General features: G+C 49.8%; 2 protein-coding genes across 22 annotated transcripts in view, besides 4 other annotated features; one reads left to right on the top strand and one right to left on the bottom strand.

Annotated features, from left to right (window-relative positions):
* The window catches only part of PHKG1 (phosphorylase kinase catalytic subunit gamma 1), a 12,658-nt gene extending 11,388 nt beyond the window's left edge, over positions 1 to 1,270 (top strand). For all 8 annotated transcript variants that reach the window (NR_047689.2, XM_005271772.6, XM_017012326.3 and 5 more), the window contains one exon: positions 266 to 1,270. Coding sequence is in view for 7 of the 8 variants with exons in the window: in XM_005271772.6 (XP_005271829.1) it covers positions 266 to 511 (246 nt within the window). In the remaining variant the exon portion in view is untranslated. The remainder of the gene's footprint in view (positions 1 to 265) is intronic.
* Positions 1 to 17,279, bottom strand: part of SUMF2 (sulfatase modifying factor 2) — a 23,661-nt gene extending 6,382 nt beyond the window's left edge. The window contains exons 1-10 of one of the 14 annotated variants that reach the window (NM_001366648.2): positions 17,187 to 17,279; positions 12,927 to 13,083; positions 8,454 to 8,568; positions 7,347 to 7,391; positions 6,829 to 6,979; positions 4,676 to 4,731; positions 3,379 to 3,463; positions 3,057 to 3,201; positions 2,526 to 2,643; positions 895 to 2,037 (exon numbers count right to left, since the gene is read on the bottom strand). In NM_001366648.2, the coding sequence (NP_001353577.1) occupies positions 1,918 to 2,037; positions 2,526 to 2,643; positions 3,057 to 3,201; positions 3,379 to 3,463; positions 4,676 to 4,731; positions 6,829 to 6,979; positions 7,347 to 7,391; positions 8,454 to 8,568; positions 12,927 to 13,083; positions 17,187 to 17,253 (1,059 nt within the window). In that variant the 5' untranslated portion in view covers positions 17,254 to 17,279 and the 3' untranslated portion in view covers positions 895 to 1,917. Of the gene's footprint in view, positions 1 to 894; positions 2,213 to 2,525; positions 2,644 to 3,056; positions 3,202 to 3,378; positions 3,464 to 4,675; positions 4,732 to 6,828; positions 6,980 to 7,346; positions 7,392 to 8,453; positions 8,569 to 12,917; positions 13,084 to 17,186 lie in introns of those variants that run through there. The other 13 variants (XM_047420120.1, NM_001042468.3, XM_011515254.4 and 10 more) reach the window with 13 other exon arrangements.
* Positions 6,993 to 7,082: an enhancer, noted in NCBI's record as "active region_26052". NCBI's record gives its function as "activates an Ori minimal core promoter by ATAC-STARR-seq in GM12878 lymphoblastoid cells {active_cell/tissue: GM12878}" and the evidence as "EXISTENCE:reporter gene assay evidence [ECO:0000049][PMID:35858748]".
* Positions 7,133 to 7,362: an enhancer, noted in NCBI's record as "active region_26051". NCBI's record gives its function as "activates an Ori minimal core promoter by ATAC-STARR-seq in GM12878 lymphoblastoid cells {active_cell/tissue: GM12878}" and the evidence as "EXISTENCE:reporter gene assay evidence [ECO:0000049][PMID:35858748]".
* Positions 16,095 to 16,389: a silencer, noted in NCBI's record as "tiled region #7863; K562 Repressive non-DNase unmatched - State 1:Tss". NCBI's record gives its function as "represses a minimal TATA promoter and a strong SV40 promoter by Sharpr-MPRA in K562 cells {active_cell/tissue: K562}" and the evidence as "EXISTENCE:reporter gene assay evidence [ECO:0000049][PMID:27701403]".
* Positions 17,017 to 17,116: an enhancer, noted in NCBI's record as "active region_26050". NCBI's record gives its function as "activates an Ori minimal core promoter by ATAC-STARR-seq in GM12878 lymphoblastoid cells {active_cell/tissue: GM12878}" and the evidence as "EXISTENCE:reporter gene assay evidence [ECO:0000049][PMID:35858748]".

The following is a 17,279-nucleotide window of genomic DNA, read 5'->3' as shown; positions in this document are numbered from 1 at the left end:
CCAGGAGTCCTTACACCCCGTGAATTTCCAGAGTACCCATCCCTCCCCTCCCAGCTGCCCTGTGATGGCTTCAAAGACGGCAGGTGTCAGCCCACTGGCTCGGTCCCTGAGGATGCTGGCCAAGTGGGAAGTGGGGGACACTAGGAAGGCCCCGCAGAAGCCACCCAAGGCTTCGTGGCAAACGAGCCCAGAGCGTCCCTGTGCTGGAGGGGCAGGGCCTGGCAGGGCGGGGGCTGCAGCCCAGCTTCTCCGCCTGGCCCTGCAGGTGATCGCTCTGACCGTGCTGGCTTCAGTGCGGATCTACTACCAGTACCGCCGGGTGAAGCCTGTGACCCGGGAGATCGTCATCCGAGACCCCTATGCCCTCCGGCCTCTGCGCCGGCTCATCGACGCCTACGCTTTCCGAATCTATGGCCACTGGGTGAAGAAGGGGCAGCAGCAGAACCGGGCAGCCCTTTTCGAGAACACACCCAAGGCCGTGCTCCTCTCCCTGGCCGAGGAGGACTACTGAGGGGCTGGCCAGTCAGGGAGGGCTAGGGGGCAGGTGGGGAGGGGAAGCCATGGAAATACAAGTCAAAGGGGTGAGATGCGTGCAGGCCTCTGCAGAAGGAGCACTTGGCCCTGGCCAGGAACCCCTGGAACTGAGGCCACGATCCCCTCTCAAAGGCTGTGCACAAGGGAAGTGGGTGTTCCCACCACACAGCAATACCTGCAGGCTGGGGCAGGCCCTGGGTGGGCAGAGATCACACGTGGCCTGAGAACCAGGAACCCCCTGCTCCTCTACTTCCTAGATGAGCCACCATCTCCATTTCTCTTTAGGGGAGGCCCAGAGTTACTGACACTCAGGCTTTCTTCCCTTAGGGTCACAGGGTGAGGATCAAAGACACAAATGTCTGAGATACACAATTGCAGGAGATTTTATTGGCCCCATGACATCCAGTGACAGTGTGGGAGCAGGCTACTCTCCAGGGACATGTTTTTGGAGGCATATGGAGAAGGGGGCCCAGGCGAGGTGGCTCACACCTGTAATCCCAGCACTTTGGGAGGTCGAGGTGGGAGGATCGCTTGAGGCCAGGAGTTCGAGACCACCCTGGGCAACAGAGCGAGATCCCATCACTACAAAAATTCAAAAAATTAGCCAGGCATGGTGGTGCACACTTGTAGTCCCAGCTACTCAGGAGGCTGAGGTGGGAGAATTGCTTGGGCCCAGGAATTCAAGGCTAGAGTGAGCCGTGATCACCAGTGCACTCTAGCCTGGGCAACAGAGAAAGACCCTGTCTCAAAAAAAAAAAAAAAAAAAAAAAGAATAGGAAGCTTCTGATATTTGTCTTTCTGGAGTACTATTTGCTTTGTGATTCCCACAATGCAATGCTTCACCTAGTACATCATCTGGTTCTCCCAGACCCTTTTAGGACTGAACTGTGCTTTAAATAGTTACATGTCTGCCTGTTACACAGTGGAAACTAGTTTCCTTCAGAGGGACACGAAACCACAGATGAGGCCACAAAGAAAGCATTCTCCTTCCACAGCAACTGGCTGAGAAAACAGAACCAGGAAAATTCTGCCTTGAGGAAACAATGTCAGCTTCCTGAATCATCCAGGGAGAAAGGGGGAGAGAATAGATTTTAAAATGCTTAAAAAATGGCCTTTCAGAGTGCTCTGTTCCAATTGTTTGTGTGTTTGCAATCCTGTGTCAATAATACTTGGCCTCTAACAGAAACACCTGGCCCCCAGCCATCGTCAACACACATTGGGCCCCTTCTCCAAAACACAGGAGGCTGAGTCCTCTCCTGCCCTGGTGAGAGGCGCCTGCCACAGAGGGATGGGAGACAGGGAAGGGGAAGTTCTTTCCTGAGGCTGAAGCTCTCGAGCTTGGAATTGCGCTGTTTGCAACATGGCCAGGGAATGACAGTGACCCTAGAAGGCTTTTCTCCTTGTCACCACCCGGCTGCTTACAGCTCCCCTGGCGGCCGGCCTGCGTCTGCAGCACAGCGGAAACCGAGGTTGTCTGAGGCTGAATCTGGAGTGTTGCCCATCCTGCCAGCAGAGAAGGGGAGAGAGGACAGACACGTCCTGAGAAAAAGGCCTAGGGCTTACCCATCTTGCCTGCCTCATCCGCAGGGCCGGCCATGATCAGGGAGCATGAGGGCTGGGGAGAGCATGGTCTGGAAAGAAGCCTGGTGTGAGGACAGGTCCTGAGCCTGTGCCAGTCCTGGGAGAAAGGGGACAAGAAGGGGCTTTGGGACAAAAGGAGTCTTGCAAGAGTAGGGGGAGGGACAGTGGCCCCAAGAGACAGCACTGAAGAGCAGAAAAGACAGTGACTAACTTCTATGTTAGCAGTTGACAACAGCTCAGTAGAGAAAACCTGTCCACAAGCAATGAGAATATCACGGCCGGGTGCAGTGGCTCACACCTGTAATCCTAGCATTCTGGGAGGCCAAGGCGGGCTGATTGCTTGAGTCCAGGAGTATGAGACAAACCTAGGCAGCATGGCAAAAACTCATCTCTACAAAAATTAGCCGCACCTGTAGTCCCAGATACTTGAGGAGCTGAGGTGGAAGAATCGCTAGAGCCTGGCAGTTTGAGGCTGTAGTGAGCTGAGACTGTGCCACTGCACTCCAGCCTGGACAACAGAGCAAGACTCTGTCTCAAAAAAAAAAAAGATTTTTCGTGTGCCCACCAGTTTGAAGAGTCAGTAAGTCCATGACCACCAGTAATGACCTACTGGTGTGGTCATTCTACTTCCCTCCCTTTGCCCACCTAGTGGTAAGGACAAGAGGAGAAACCCCATAATTAAGATGCCACACACAGTCTCCCTGGGTACCAAGAGCTGGCAGGAGAGTCACAAGGTGTCCTGGGTCCCTTTGCTTTTCATAGCAAGTGCTGCTGGCTTTCTTTTTTGTACCCACAACTGGGCACAGGCTCAGGGAGGTGCTGGGACCAGCTCATCACACACAGACGGTTGGTGGTGTGAAGGTAGGGACACTCTGGGACCGGGATTCAGACATCAGCCCCCAGCTACAAGGCCCCGTGTTGCCTGGGACCAAGCCCCTTACCTGGTGGTGACCCGGGCCCGGTGATTGGCAGAGCCATCAGCTGTGTCGATCCAGGATGCCCCCCGGAGGACGCGCATGTCCTGCTCAGCAGCCTGGTACGGTGATGCTGTCCACTCCCACACGTTCCCCAGGAGGTCATAGAGCCCTGCAGCCCCACCGGCGGGTCAGGCCAGGCTGGGACCCGCCGACCACCCCGCCTACCCTCTGAGGTCCTGGGGGCCAAATGGCAGAAGGGAGGTGCTTCCCTCTGCCTCCTCTCTCAGACATGATGGTCCCAACAGCCAGTTCATGGGCACAGCCGCAAGCCCAAGACAGCTCTTACCGTAGTTGTTCTGGGCGGGGAAAGCATTCACTGGGGAGACTCCATGGAAGCCATCCTCAGCTTTGTCTCCCTTGGGGAACTTTCCCTGATGGGAGAAAGGAAGGGTAAAGGATTTACCACCTGTCCCAAAGCAGGTCCTCATGCCTATCCAGAGGAAAACCAAGGTCGTCTTGCTGTTGCATCTGGGGAAGGGGAAGGGCACGGGGCGGTGACCTAAGATTCCTATCTAGAGCTCCCAAACCCATCACCTTACATCCCCAGGGTGACCCCCACTGCTGGATTAGGAAGAGTGTTTCCCCTGTACCCACAGGGCTCCAGGTCAAGCCCAGCCCACACCTGACTTCTCCACTCTCAGCAACATCCTGCCCTCTGCCTGGAACCCCACATGCCACAGTGCCTCAAGAAGACAGGATCCTCTGCATCCTGCCCCCATGTCTCATGCCTGAGCACTGCAGCCTATTCCTGCTGGCCTTCTCAGGACAGTGCTTTTTTATTTGCTTATTTTAGTTTTATTTTTTATTCACTTTTTTTTTTTTGAGGCAGGGTCTCGTTCTGTCGCCAAGGCTAGAGTACAGTGGTAGCTCACTGCAACCTCCGCCTCCTGGGTTCAAGTGATTCTCCTGCCCAAGCCCCAAGCAGCTGGGATTACAGGTGCATGCCACCATGCCCAGCTCATCTTTTATTTTTTGTAGAAGCAGGGTTTCACCATATTGGCCAGGCTGGTCTTGAACTCCTGACCTCAGGTGATCCACCCGCCTCGGCCTCCCAAAGTGCTGGGATTACAGGCGTGAGCCACTGCACCCAGCCCTACAACTCTTTAATAGAAAGTACTTACGCTGGCTGGGCACGGTGGCTCATGCCTGTAATCCCAGCACTTTAGGAGGCCAAGGCGGGTGGATCACCTGAGGTCAGGAGTTTGAGACCAGCCTGGCCAACATGGCAAAACCCCATCTCTACTAAAAATACAAAAAAATTAGCTGGGCATGGTGGCAGGCACCTGTAATCCCAACTACTTGGGAGACTGGGGCAGGAGAATCGCTTGAACCTGGGAGGCGGAGGTTGCAGTGAGCCAAGATCGCACCACTGCACTCCAGCGTGGGCAACAGAGAGAGACTCTGTCTCAAAAAAAAAAAAAAAAAGAAAGCACTTATGACCCATTGTCTTTTGCTTTACCAGCTTATGAGTCATCAGTTGCATTAGAACCCAAGCCTTCTGGATGCCGCGGCCTAACAACACAGTGCCCAGCCTCCAGCAGGTCTCTGTCAATGCTTGGTGAAAGGAGGAACGTAGGTCTTACCTGCCACAGGTTGGTGCGGTTTGGCTGGAACCAGTTCCCCCATGGGTAAACTTGACCTGCGAGGAGAGCAAGGAGGCAGCAGAGGAGGGGGAGGTGAAGAATTAGGGAAGGAAAAAAGAACACAGAAAGAGTGAGGGAATCAAAAGGAAGTTAGAGGGTGATGAGAAAAAAGAGTGAATGACCTGCTTTTATTTGCCATGCCCATCCTCTCCACTCGCTGAACTGCATTAGAGGGCCCTGGCCTCCTCATGTGCTCCAGGGCAATGTAATCCTAAGCATGGTTCTGGGACCTGAGCCAGTTTATAAAGCATCTGTTATCAGTTCATGTTGAGAAAAGTACAGAAATCGAGAAACTTGAAATTGGACTTAGATTGCATAAATGAATGAGCCAGAGGCAACCTCACAGGTCATATTAAAAACTTCGATCACTGGCTGGTCGCGGTGGCTCACACTTGTAATCCCAGCACTTTGGGAGACCGAGGCAGATGGATCACGAGGTCAGGAGTTCGAGACCAGCCTGGCCAACACAGTGAAATCCTGTCTCTACTAAAAATACAAAAATTATGCAGGGCATGGTGGCTCACGCCTGTAATCCCAGCACTTTGGGAGGCCAAGGCAGACGGATCAGGAGGTCAGGAGATCGAGATCATCCTGGCTAACACGGTGAAACCCCGTCTCTACTAAAAATACAAAAAATTAGCCGGGCGAGGTGGCGGGCGCCTGTAGTCCCAGCTACTTGGGAGGCTGAGGCAGGAGAATGGCGTGAACCCGGGAGGCGGAGCTTGCAGTGAGCCGCGATCGCGCCACCATACTCCAGCCTGGGCGACACAGCGACACTCTGTCTCAAAAAAAAAAAAAAAATAGCCGGGCATGGTGGCAGGTGCCTGTAATCCCAGGTACTAGGGAGGCTGAGGCAGGAGAATCCCTTGAACCCGGGAGGCGGAGGTTGCAGGGAGCTGAGATCGTGCCACTGTACTCCAGCCTTGGGCGACAGAGCTAGACTGTCTCAAAACAAAAAACAAAAAACAAAAAACTTTGATCACTGATGTACCTGGTGTTCACTGAAAGATTGTGTAGAGGGGTTTAATGTGCGGAGTTGCTTTTTGCTGTCCTAACTTTTTGTGTAATTAGGATTGCAGAATGACAAATGACCGAGTTAGGAGCAAACAGTGATTCTTTTTTTTTTTTTTTGAGACGGAGTCTTACTCTGTCGCCCAGGCTGGAGTGCAGTGGCGTGATCTCGGCTCACTGCAACCTCCACCTGCCAGGTTCACGCCATTCCCCTGCCTCAGCCTCCCAAGTAGCTGGGACTACAGGCGCCCGCCACCAAGCCCAGCTAATTTTTTTTTGTATTTTTAGTAGAGACGGGGTTTCACTGTGTTAGCCAGGATGGTCTCAACCTCCTGACCTCGTGATCCACCCACCTCGGCCTCCCAAAGTGCTTTGATTACAGGCGTGAGCCACTGCGCCCGGCCGCAAACAGTGACTCTTAACATTAATCTCTGTACCCCAGAGGCAGAAGTGTGTAGTCTTGGTAATTCTTTTTCCTTATGCTATGTTGCTCTAGTTATATTTATTGAAATGTAACATGTCTGTGGAATTTCCAATAAAATATTTTATGTCTGTTCTTTCAATTTTCCAGTTATTAATTTTTATGGTATTTTATATCAGTCTGAGATGGACTAGAAATTAAAAAAAAAAAAAAACACTGGTCCTCCACCACAGATAGCTTAAGAAGCACTGCTCTAGGGAACACAGACCCTTCCTGCCCCATCCCCCCGCTTTTTCTTTTGAGACAGGGTCTTGTTCTGTCACTCAGGCCAGACAGCAGTGGTGCGATCATAGCTCGCCGCAGCTTTGAACTCCTAGGCTCAAAGGATCTTCCCACCTCAGCCTCCTGAGTAGCTGGGACTACAGGCACATGCCACCAGGCCCAGCTCATTTTTGTATTTTTCGGAGAGACAGGGTCTCCCTATATTGCCCAGGCTAGTCTTTTACTCCTGGCCTCAAGCGATCCTCCTGCCCCAGCCTCCCAAAGTGTTGGGATTACAGGCATAAGCCACTGCGCCCAGCCCCTTTCCACCCTTTAAAGCCCCTCATGCTGGGCAGGATGGGGAGAAGAATAAAGGAAAATCGCCTTATCATCTGGATACCCTTCAAGCCCCCTCGGGCGGCAAACTCCCACTCTTCCTCCGTGGGCAGTCGTTTTCCCCGCCAAGCACAGTAGGCACGGGCGTCATTCCAGCTCACGTGTAACACTGGGTGCTCCAGTCTCTCTCGGATGCCAGAGCCAGGACCTGCAGGCTGACAGCCAGGATTAAGTGAGACAGGCTTCCGGGAGCGCATTAAGTCGGAGGCAGGCTAGGTTTAGGGCGCCCGCGTTCAGCTTTTACCACTAGATGGAGCAAGAGAGCTGGAAGAGAGCCGGGTGAGTGACCAGTGGTCGGAGTCAGAAAAAAGAGACTACAGGAGGCTGAAGGGAGAAATGGATGGGTAACAGGAAACAGGATTCGGGCAGGTGAAACAGGCCTGCTGAGCGCTTTCCCTGATATTCCCCTATCCTTCTTTGAAACTCAGTGTTCCTGGATGTACGAGGGGTAGAGAGGAGGCTGGGCCTGGAGAATAAGAGTCAAGCAGGGGTAGAAAATGAGGTAGCGGAATCAGCCCTTACCTGCCTCCAAAATGCCTTTTCCACTGGAAGCCACCAGAGTACAGACTGCGAAAAAGAAGGAGACCGACTGCAAGATGCTCCGGCCCAGCAAAGGCACCTCCCCGACTGAGCCACAGGACGCAGAACAGAGACGTCAGGCTGAGACTCAGGTGGTCTAAGTGAGGTTGTGGCTGATTTTTTTTTTTTTTTTTTTTTTTTTTTTTTGAGACAAGATCTTGCTCTGTCACTCAGGCTAGAGTGCAGTGGCACCATCAGAGCTCACTGCAGTCTCAACCTCCTGGACTCAGGTAATCCTCCCACCTCAACCTCCTGAGTAGCTGGGACTACAGGTGTGCATGACCATGCCCAGCTAATTTTCTTTTTTTTCTTTTTTTTGTAGATATGGGATCTATGTTGCCCAGGCTGGTCTTGAATTCTTGGGCTCAAGCAATTGTCCCACCTCGGCCTCCCAAAGTGCTGGGGTTACAGGCGTGAGCTGCTGCGCCCAGCTGAGACTGGAATCTTTATAGAGCCCATCTTACCACCCTTATTAGAGGTTGGCTTGCCAAGGTGATCTCTCTTTTTTTTTTTCTTTTGAGACACAGTCTCACTCTGTCACCCAGGCTGGAGTGCAGTGGCGCCATCTCGGCTCACTGCAACCTCTGCCTTCCAGGTTCAAGCGATTCTCATGCCTCAGCCTCCTGAGTAGCTCAGATTACAGGAGCGTGCCACCATGCCTGTCTAATTTTTGTATTTTTAGTATAGACGGGGTTTCGCCATGTTGGTCTTGAACTCCTGACCTCAGGTGATCCACTCACCTCAGCCTCTCAAAGTGCTGAGATTATAGGCATGAGACACCACGCTCGGCCCACCAAGGTGATCTCTTGATTCAAGTTCCTTGGATCCTATCCTGACTTGGACATTTAGGCAAGAGCTAACTTGGGTTCAGGGTTAACTTCCTGGGAGTGTGTACTGATCTGACGCTCCATGGTGAGTTTCTCTTGCTTCCCCTCTGCCTCCACCTCTCAGGTCTGATTCTCCACTGTGTCCCAGGTAACCCATGTCCCACAGGATTCCCTGTCCAGGTCCCACTCCTATCCCCTCAGCTGCAAGACCAGGTTCTCTCACCTTCATTGGCTGGGTGGCTTTGTTTCTCAGCTCATCAGAGACAAAGTCCTCAAAGACAAAGCTCCATCCAAACATCTCAGCTTCTGTCCGATACTTTTTCTCCCTGACAAAATCCCTATAAAGACATAGTTCAGCTGGTTCAGCTGGTGAGGTTCTGTGCCCACCCCATCTTCTCCTGCTCCAGGAAACTTCAGATATCCCTGTCCTGTAAGTTATACACCACAGAGTGTTCATGATTGCCAAGGAATTAACCTGAAGCCTGAGTGATTTTCTTTTAAATTAGAATACAACGAATTCACATACAGTAAAATTCACTCTCTTCAGTGTTTAGTTCTGTGAGGTTAATTAATTTTTTATTTTATTTGTTTGTTTATTTGTGTATTTATTTAGAGATGGAGTCTCACTCTGTCGCCCAGGCTGGAGTGCAATGGTGTGATCTCGGCTCACTGCAAGCTCCGCCTCCCGGTTTCACGCCATTCTCCTGCCTCAGCCTCCCAAGTAGCTGGGATTACAGGCGTCTGCCACCACGCCCAGGTAATTTTTGTATTTTTAGTAGTGACAGGGTTTCACCATGTTGGCCAGGCTGGTCTCGAACTCCTGACCTAGTGATCCACCTGCCTCGGCCTCCCAAAGGGCTGAGATTACAGGCGTGAGCCACCACACCTGTCCTATTTATTTATTTTTTTGAGACAAAGTCTCACTCTGTTGCCCAGGCTGGAGTGCAGTGACACAATCTCAGCTCACTGCAACCTCCACCTCCCAGGTTCAAGTGATTCTCTAGCCTCAGTCTCTTAAGTAGCTGGGATTACAGACGTATACCACCACGCCCAGCTAATTTTTGTATTTTTTGTAAAGATAGGGTTTCGCAATGTTAGCCAGGCTGGTCTCGAACTCCTAACTTCAGGTGATCCACCCAAAGTGGCCTCCCAAAGTGTTGGGATTACAGGTGTGAGGCACAACACTTGGCCAATATTTTTTTTTTTTTTTTTTGAGACAGAGTCTTGCTCTGTCTCAAAAAGACTGTTGCCCAGGCTGGAGTGCAGTGGTGCAATCTCAGCTCACTGCAACCTCCACCTCCTGGGTTCAAGCGATTCTCTTGCCTCAGCTTCCCCAGTAGCTGGGATTACAGGTGCACACCACCATGCCCACTAATTTTTGTCTTTTTAGTAGAGACGGGTTTCACCATGTTGGCCAGGCTGGTCTCAAACTCCTGACTTCATGATCTGCCCGCCTCGGCCTCCCAAAGTGCTGGGATTGCAGGCATGAGCCACTGTGCCCAAATTATTTTTTATTTAATTATTTATTTATTTATTTATTTATTTATTTTTAGACGGAGTCTCACTCTATGGCCCAGGCTTGAGTGCAGTGGCATGAACTCAGCTCACTGCAACCTCTACCTCCTGGGTTCAAGCGATAATCTTGCCTCAGCCTCCTGAGTAGCTGGGATTACAGGTGTATGCCAGCACACCCGGCTAATTTTTGTATTTTTAGTAGTGATGGGGTTTCACCATGTTGGTCAGGTTGGTCTTGAACTCCTGACCTTGTGATCTGCCTGCCTCAGCCTCCCAAAGTGCTGGGATTACAGGTGTGAGCCACTGCGCCCAACCAATCATTTATTTTTTTGACACCAGGTCTCACTCTGTCACCCAGGCTGGAGTGCAGTGGCACAATCATGGCTTACTGTAGCATCGACCTCCTGGGTTCAAGAGATTCTCGTGCCTCAGCCTCCTGATTTATTTTAATTATTTATATTTTGAGACTGGGTCTCACTCTGTCACCCAGACTGCAGTGCAGTGGCATAATCACAGCTCACTGCAGCCTTGACCTCCTGGGCCCAAGCAATTTTCCCTCCTCAGCCTCCCAAGTAGCTGTGACTACAGGTGCATGCCACCATGCCTAGCTAATTTTGTAGAGATGGGGTCTCACTATGTTGCCCAGGCTGGTCTAAAAATTCTGAGCTCAAGTGATCCACACACCTCGGACTCCCAAAGTGTTGGGACTACAGGCATGAGCCACTGTGCTCAGCAGTTCTGTGAGTTTGACAAAGCATATAGTCACTACAATAATCAAGATACAGAATAGTTCCATCGGTCACCTCCAAAAAAATTTCCCTGCAACTCACCAACCACGGACCAGGTTTTTTTGTCCCTATAGTTTTGCCTTTCCCAGAACACCATATAACTTGAATCATACAGTATGTAGTCTTCTGGGTCTGGCGGAGGTTTCCTTCACTTAGCAAAAGGCTTCTGAGATTCATCCATGTTGTTGCCATTAGTAGTCTGTCCCTTTTTATCGATGAGTAGTATCTTATTGTATGGACATACCATATTTTGTTCATACACTTACCAGCTGAAGATCATGTGAGTTATCTCCTGTTTTTGGAGATCATGAATAAAGCCACTGGAGCAGGAGATTTAAGGGTGGGGAATGTGTCTCTTTTCTGAAAGGTCTCCAGCACATCTTTTTTTTTTTTCTTTTTTTTGAGAAAGGATGTCTCTCTGTTGCCCAGGCTGGAGTGCAGTGGTGCAATCATGGCTCACTACAGCCTCAACCTTCCACACTCAAGTGATCCTCCTGCCTCAACCTCCCTAATAGCTGAGACTACAAGTGTGTGCTACCATGAAGGGCTAATTTTTTTTTTTTTAATTTTTAGTAGAGATGGGGGTCTGTGTTGCCCAGGATGGTCTCGAACTCCTGGGCTCAAGTGATCCTCCCACCTCAGCCTCCCAAATTGTTGGGATTACAGACGTGAGCCACTGCATCCAGCCCTTCATCACATATCTCATCTCACAACAACCATCAGAGATAGATGTAACAGGTGTTATTGTTATTAACTCCATTTAAGAGGTGAAAAACACTGAACCAAATAGAAGTGAAAAATTGGGCTTTTAAAATGGATTTTTGGCCGGGCGTGGTGGCTCACAGCTGTAATCCCAACACTTCAGGAGGCCAAGGCAGGTGGATCACCTGAGGTCAAGAGTTCAAGACCAGCCTGACCAACATGGAGAAACCCTGTCTCTACTAAAAATACAAAAAATAGCTGGGCGTGGTGGTGCATGCCTGTAATCCCAGCTACTCAGGAGGCTGAGGTAGGAGAATCGCTTGAACCCAGGAGGTGGAGGTTGTGGTGAGCTGAGATCGCACCATTGCACTCCAGCCTAGGCAACAAGAGGAAAACTGTGTCTCTAAATAAATAAATAAATACAAATAAATAAAATGGATTTTCAAGGCCAGGCATGGTGGGTCACACCTATAATCCCAGCATTTTGGGAGGCCACGGCAGAAGGATCATTTGAGCCCAGGAGTTCGAGACCAGCCTGGGCAACAGGGCAAAACCCTGTCTCTACCAAAAATACAAAACAAAATAAGCTGGGTGTGATAGTGCGCACCTGTAGTCCCAGGTGATGGTTTGAGCCTGGGACGCAGAGGCTGCAGCGAGCTGAGATCATACCACTGAACTTCAGCCTGGGTGACAGAGCCAGACCCTGTCTCAAAAAAATAATAACAATAACAATAATAATAATAAAATGAATTTTCATATACTTTGGTATGGTTTAGTAAGTTTCAGGGGGCAGACTGTCAGGGTAAGATGGATTGTTATATATATGTATTTATATATATATGTGTGTGTATGTATATTTATATACTTATTTACTTATTTATTTATTTTAGCAGAGATAGGGTCTCCCTATGTTACCAGCCTGGTCTCAGACTCCTGAGCTCAAGCAATCCTCCCACCTCGGCCTCCCAAAGTGCTCACATTGCAGGTGTGAGCCAGCACACCTGGCCTATAAGGGGAATTTAAAGGACTCTCTACTATGATGTCCCTTCTCCCAATCCCTTCCCCATGTAGAAGAGGTTTCTGTTGAGTGACTGGCGTTTGCTTATATTTCTCAGTGCTATGCCCAGTGTAATGGAAAATGCACTGGCTCAAGAGCCCAGGGATTTGAGTTCCAGGCCAAGCTCATCCACTAACTGAGAGAGTCAGTCAAACCTCTTTGGATTTCAGGTTCTTCATCTGAATAACATATCCCATAGTACACTGCAAAGATGACACGTGACAGTGAACAAGTTAGTTTTCCTTTAGATATTAAGAATGAGGCCAAGTGCAGTGGCTCATGCCTGTAATCCCAGCACTTTGGGAGGCTGAGGTGGGCAGATAGTTGAGGTCAGGAGTTCGAGCCCAGCCTGGCCAACATGGAGAAACCCCGTCTCTACTAAAAAAATACAAAAAAAAAAAAATTAGCCGGGCGTGGTGGTGAACACCTGTAATTCCAGCTGCTCGGCAGGCGAAGGCAGGAGAATTGCTTGAACCCGGGAGGTGGAGGTTGCAGTGAGCGAGATTGCGCCACTGCACTCCAGCACCTGGGTGACAGAGGGAGTCAGTCTCAAAAAACAAAAAAAAAAAAAAGAAAGAAAAAAGAATGAGATTAGAGAGGGTCTTCATTCCTCCTGGAAGAATACCTGATGTACCTGAAATCTTTGTTGGTGACAGGAAATATGTCGATGGCAAAGGGTTTCACTGTCGCCTCCCGCACAGGCCCGTCACCATCTCTGCTGTCTGGAGAATTTGTTCCCATCAGGAATCTCCCACCCTGCAGTTGGACCATGCTAGTAGCCTGTCCATTTCCTGCAGAGAAAAAAGAGAGTTACCAGTAATACATGCATATATATAAAACAAGTGGTAATATTTGGATCATATGCAATACTCATGATGGTATAACAAAACACAACAAAAAATGTGGAGGCTTAAAAATCTGGCTTTAAATTCCTTTTGGGCTGGGCACGGTGGCTCACACCTGTAATCCCAGCACTTTGAGAGGCCGAGGCGGGTAGATGACGAGGTCAGATCAAGACCATCCTGGCTAACACGGTGAAACCCCTTCTCTACTAAAAATACAAAAAAAAAAATTAGCCGGGCGTGGTGGCAGTCGCCTGTAGTCCCAGCTACTTGGGAGGCTGAGGCAGGAGAATGGTGTAAACCCGGGAGGCGGAGCTTGCAGTGAGCCGAGAGTGTGCCACTGCACTCCACCTGGGCAACAGAGCGAGACTCTGTCTCAAAAAAAAAAAAAAAAAAAAAGAAAGAAAAAAAGAAAATTCCTTTTGCGTTTTGTTTGTTTGGCTTCACATTCTTGTTCTGCCACTTAATTTGCTGGGAAACCTTAGGCAAATTACTTAATCTGAGATTCAATTTCTTGTCTTTTTTTTTTTTTTTTTCGTGACAGGATCTCGCTGTGTCACCCAGACTGGAGTGCAGTGGTGCACTCTGGGTTCACTGCAACCTCTGCCCCCGTCAGCTCAAGCAATCCTCCCACCTCAGCCTCCTGAGTAGCTGGGACCACAAGTGTGCACCACCACACCTGGCTAATTTTTGTATTTTTTGTAGAGATGGGGTTTTGTTATGTCGCCCAGGCTGGTCTCAAACTCCTGAGCTCAAATGATCCTTCCACCTCAGCCTCCCAAAGTGCTGGGATTATAGGTGTGAGCCAGCACGCCCAGCTGAGATTCAATTTCTTCATCTGAAAAATGGGGATATCTATGGACGACCATAGCTTATTAATAAAAGAAAAAATAAGTATGAAAAATAGGGATAATATCTCACTATCTCTTAGGTAGCAGCTGTATCAATTAAAATAACATGGAACCAGGAGCAATGGCTCAGAGACAGGGTGCAGAGGCTAAGGCAGGAGGATTGCTTGAGCCCAGGAGTTCAAGGTTGTAGTGAGCTATCATTGTGTCACTGCACTCCAGCCTGGGTGACAGAGTGAGACCCTGTCTCAAAAAATAAAAAATAAAAAGATAATAATAACAATAAGATAGCATGGGTGAAATGTTGAACACATGGTAGATTTGCACTTACCTCTTTCTTCCTCTACACAAGTCCTTTTCTTCCTCTACACAAGCCCTTGTCCCAGCTAGGTGAATTTAGACACTCTATCCTAAAATACATCTAGCACTTTCTTTCCATCCTTCTGCTCATGCTGTTTCTCTGCCTCTTCCTCTCCACTTACTGAACTCTTATCAGTTCTTAGTGATTCTCACCATTATATGAGCCAGAAGAGAAGCATATAATACATATATGACAGTATATCCCTGGCCTCTGCCATAAGTGCATAATTATTGCCAAATAGTTGAATGAGCACCTTTAGACTTGTATGAATGCCTCAGAAAATCATAGAATTAAAAAGGACTGGCCAGGTGCGATGGCTCACACCTGGAATCCCAGCACTTTGGGAGGCCGAGGCGGGCAGATTACCTGAGGTCAGGAGTTGGAGACCAGTCTGGCCAACATGGCGAAACCCCATCTCTACTAAAAATACAAAAATCAGCCAGGCGTGGTGTCAGGTGCCTGTAATCCCAGCTCTCAGGAGGCTGAGGCAGGAGAATCGCTTGCACCCGGGAGGCGGAGGTTGCAGTGAGCCGAGATCACGCCACTGCACTCCGGCCTGGGCGACAGGAGCGAGACTCCGTCTCAAAGAAACAAACAAAACCAAAAATAAGCCAGGTATGATGGTGTACACCTGTAATCCCAACTACTCCGGAAGCTGAGGCAGGAGAATCACTTGAACCTGGGGGGGCGGAGGTTGCAGTGAACCAAGATCGCGCCACTGCACTCCAGCCTGGAGGGACACAGCAAGACTCTGTCTCAAAATAAATAAATAAATAAAAAATAAAAAAGGATCTTTGCTTCAACCTCCTTATTCCACAGGAGCAAACCAAGATCCAAAAAAGAAATATGACTTAAAGAGCTGGTTAGCAGGAGACAGGACTAGATTTAGGTCTCTTTACGGTGCTGTTTCCAATAAGCCATACTGCTTCAGCTGATGCACCACTTCACAGTGTCTTTCCAAGAAAGGATGTCTAAGCACTACAACTTCTTTCAAGGCAGAGTCCTTGTCTTTTGATGTTCCTCAAGATCCTATCTTTGGATCTCTTATTCTGACACACTCTCAGTGATTTCATCCATTTTCAGTTTTTCGTTTTTTTTGTTTTGTTTTGTTTTTGATTTTTTTTTTTTTTTTTTTTTTTGTGAGGCGGAGCCTTGCTCTGTTGTCCCGGTCAGAGTGCAGTGGCCCGATCTCGGAAAACTGCAACCTCCGCCTCCTGGGTTCAAGCGATTCTCCCGCCTCAGCCTCCTGAATAGCTGGGACTACAGGCGCCCGCCACCACGCCCGGCTAATTTTTTTGTATTTTTAGTAGAGACGGGGTTTCACCATGTTGGGCAGGCTGCTCGAACTCCTGACCTCGTGATCCGCCCGCCTCAGGCTCTTAAAGTGCTGGGATTTCAAGCGTGAGCCACCTCACCTGGCCCATTTTCAGTTTCTTTCACAAATATATTGCAAAGGGAAAAAACGGATCATCCTGGCGTGGTGGCTTACGCCTGTAATCCCAGCACTTTGGGAAACTGAGGCAGGGATTGCTTGAGGCTGCAGTCAGCTATGATGGAACCATTCACTCCAGCCTGGGCAACACGTCGAGACCTTGCCCCCCGCCCCACCAAAAATAAATAAATAAATAAATAAAAGGAGTAAGTAGGGAAATCTCAGATTGAATCGGAATTAAGAAATAACATACAATTGCAATGTATGAGCTTTATTTTGTCCCTAATTCAGCCAGCAAACGTTAAAAACCATTTATGAGATAATAGATGAATCTGAACAGACTGAATATATTATTAAGAAGCACTGTCAATTTTTTAGGTGAGAAACGGTTTGACTATTCAAGCTTAATAAATCCCTAGAATAAAATGGGATAATGTCTGGACCCACTTCCAAATGGCTCCAGGAGAGGGGGAGTGTGCGATTCCGCAGGAGCAGGACTGGCCACAAACTGGCAGCTATTTAAGCTGGCCGAGTACGTGGGGGCGGGGGTCGTTCCTCGTTATATTCTCCTTTTTCCTTTTTTTTTTTTTTTTTTTTTTGAGACGGAGTCTCGCTGTCGCCCAGGCTGGAGTGCAGTGGCGCTATCTCCGCTCACTGCAGGCTCCACCCCCCGGGGTTCACGCCATTCTCCTGCCTCAGCCTCCCTAGTAGCTGGGACTACAAGCGCCCGCCATCACGCCCGGCTAATTTTTTGAATTTTTAGTAGAGACGGGGTTTCACTGTGTTAGCCAGGATGGTCTCGATTTCCTGACCTCGTGATCCGCCCGCCTCGGCCTCCCAAAGTGCTGGGATTACAGGCGTGAGCCACCGCGTCCGGCCTTTTTTTTTTTTTTTTTTTTTTTTTTTTGAGATAAAGTATCGATCTGTCGCCCAGGCTGGAATGCAATGGCACGATCTCGGCTCACTGCAACCTCCGCCTCCTGGGTTCAAGCGAGTCTCCTGTCTCAGCCTCCCGAGTAGCTGGGATTACAGGCACCCGCCGCCACGCCCGGATAGTTGTGTTTTTTTGTTTTTGTATTTTTGTAGAGACAGGGTTTCACGTTGGCCAGGCTGGTCTCCAACTCCTGACCTCAAGTGATCCACCCGCCTCGGCCTCCCAAAGTGCTGGGATTACAGGCTCGAGCCACCGCGCCCGGCCTCTCTTTCCCTTTTTTAGGTTTGAAAGATTCCACAACAAGAAGTTGAAAAGTATAAGGCGGTGAGGCGCCACGCGCACCGAGAGCTACCTCCCCAGCCTGCCGCTGCAGCCGCATCCCGGAAGCCGGCAGAAGGGCCTAAGGCTCTCTCCCGTCAGGGCGGAGCGCCCCATCCCCTTCCCAGCGCCCCCAGGATGGACGGCCGGTTCACTGACCTAGCTTGAGCCACGCGCCGACCAGGAGCGACAGCAGGGGCAGCAGCGGTAACCCATGCCGGGCCATCAGGACTGCCGCGCTGCGCCGCGTAC

Source organism: Homo sapiens, chromosome 7 (genome assembly GCF_000001405.40).
Source record: "Homo sapiens chromosome 7, GRCh38.p14 Primary Assembly".
In the NCBI taxonomy this organism is placed as follows: domain Eukaryota; kingdom Metazoa; phylum Chordata; class Mammalia; order Primates; family Hominidae; genus Homo; species Homo sapiens.
The sequence above is the reverse complement of the archived record's forward strand: the minus strand, read 5'-3'. Positions and strand labels throughout refer to the sequence as shown.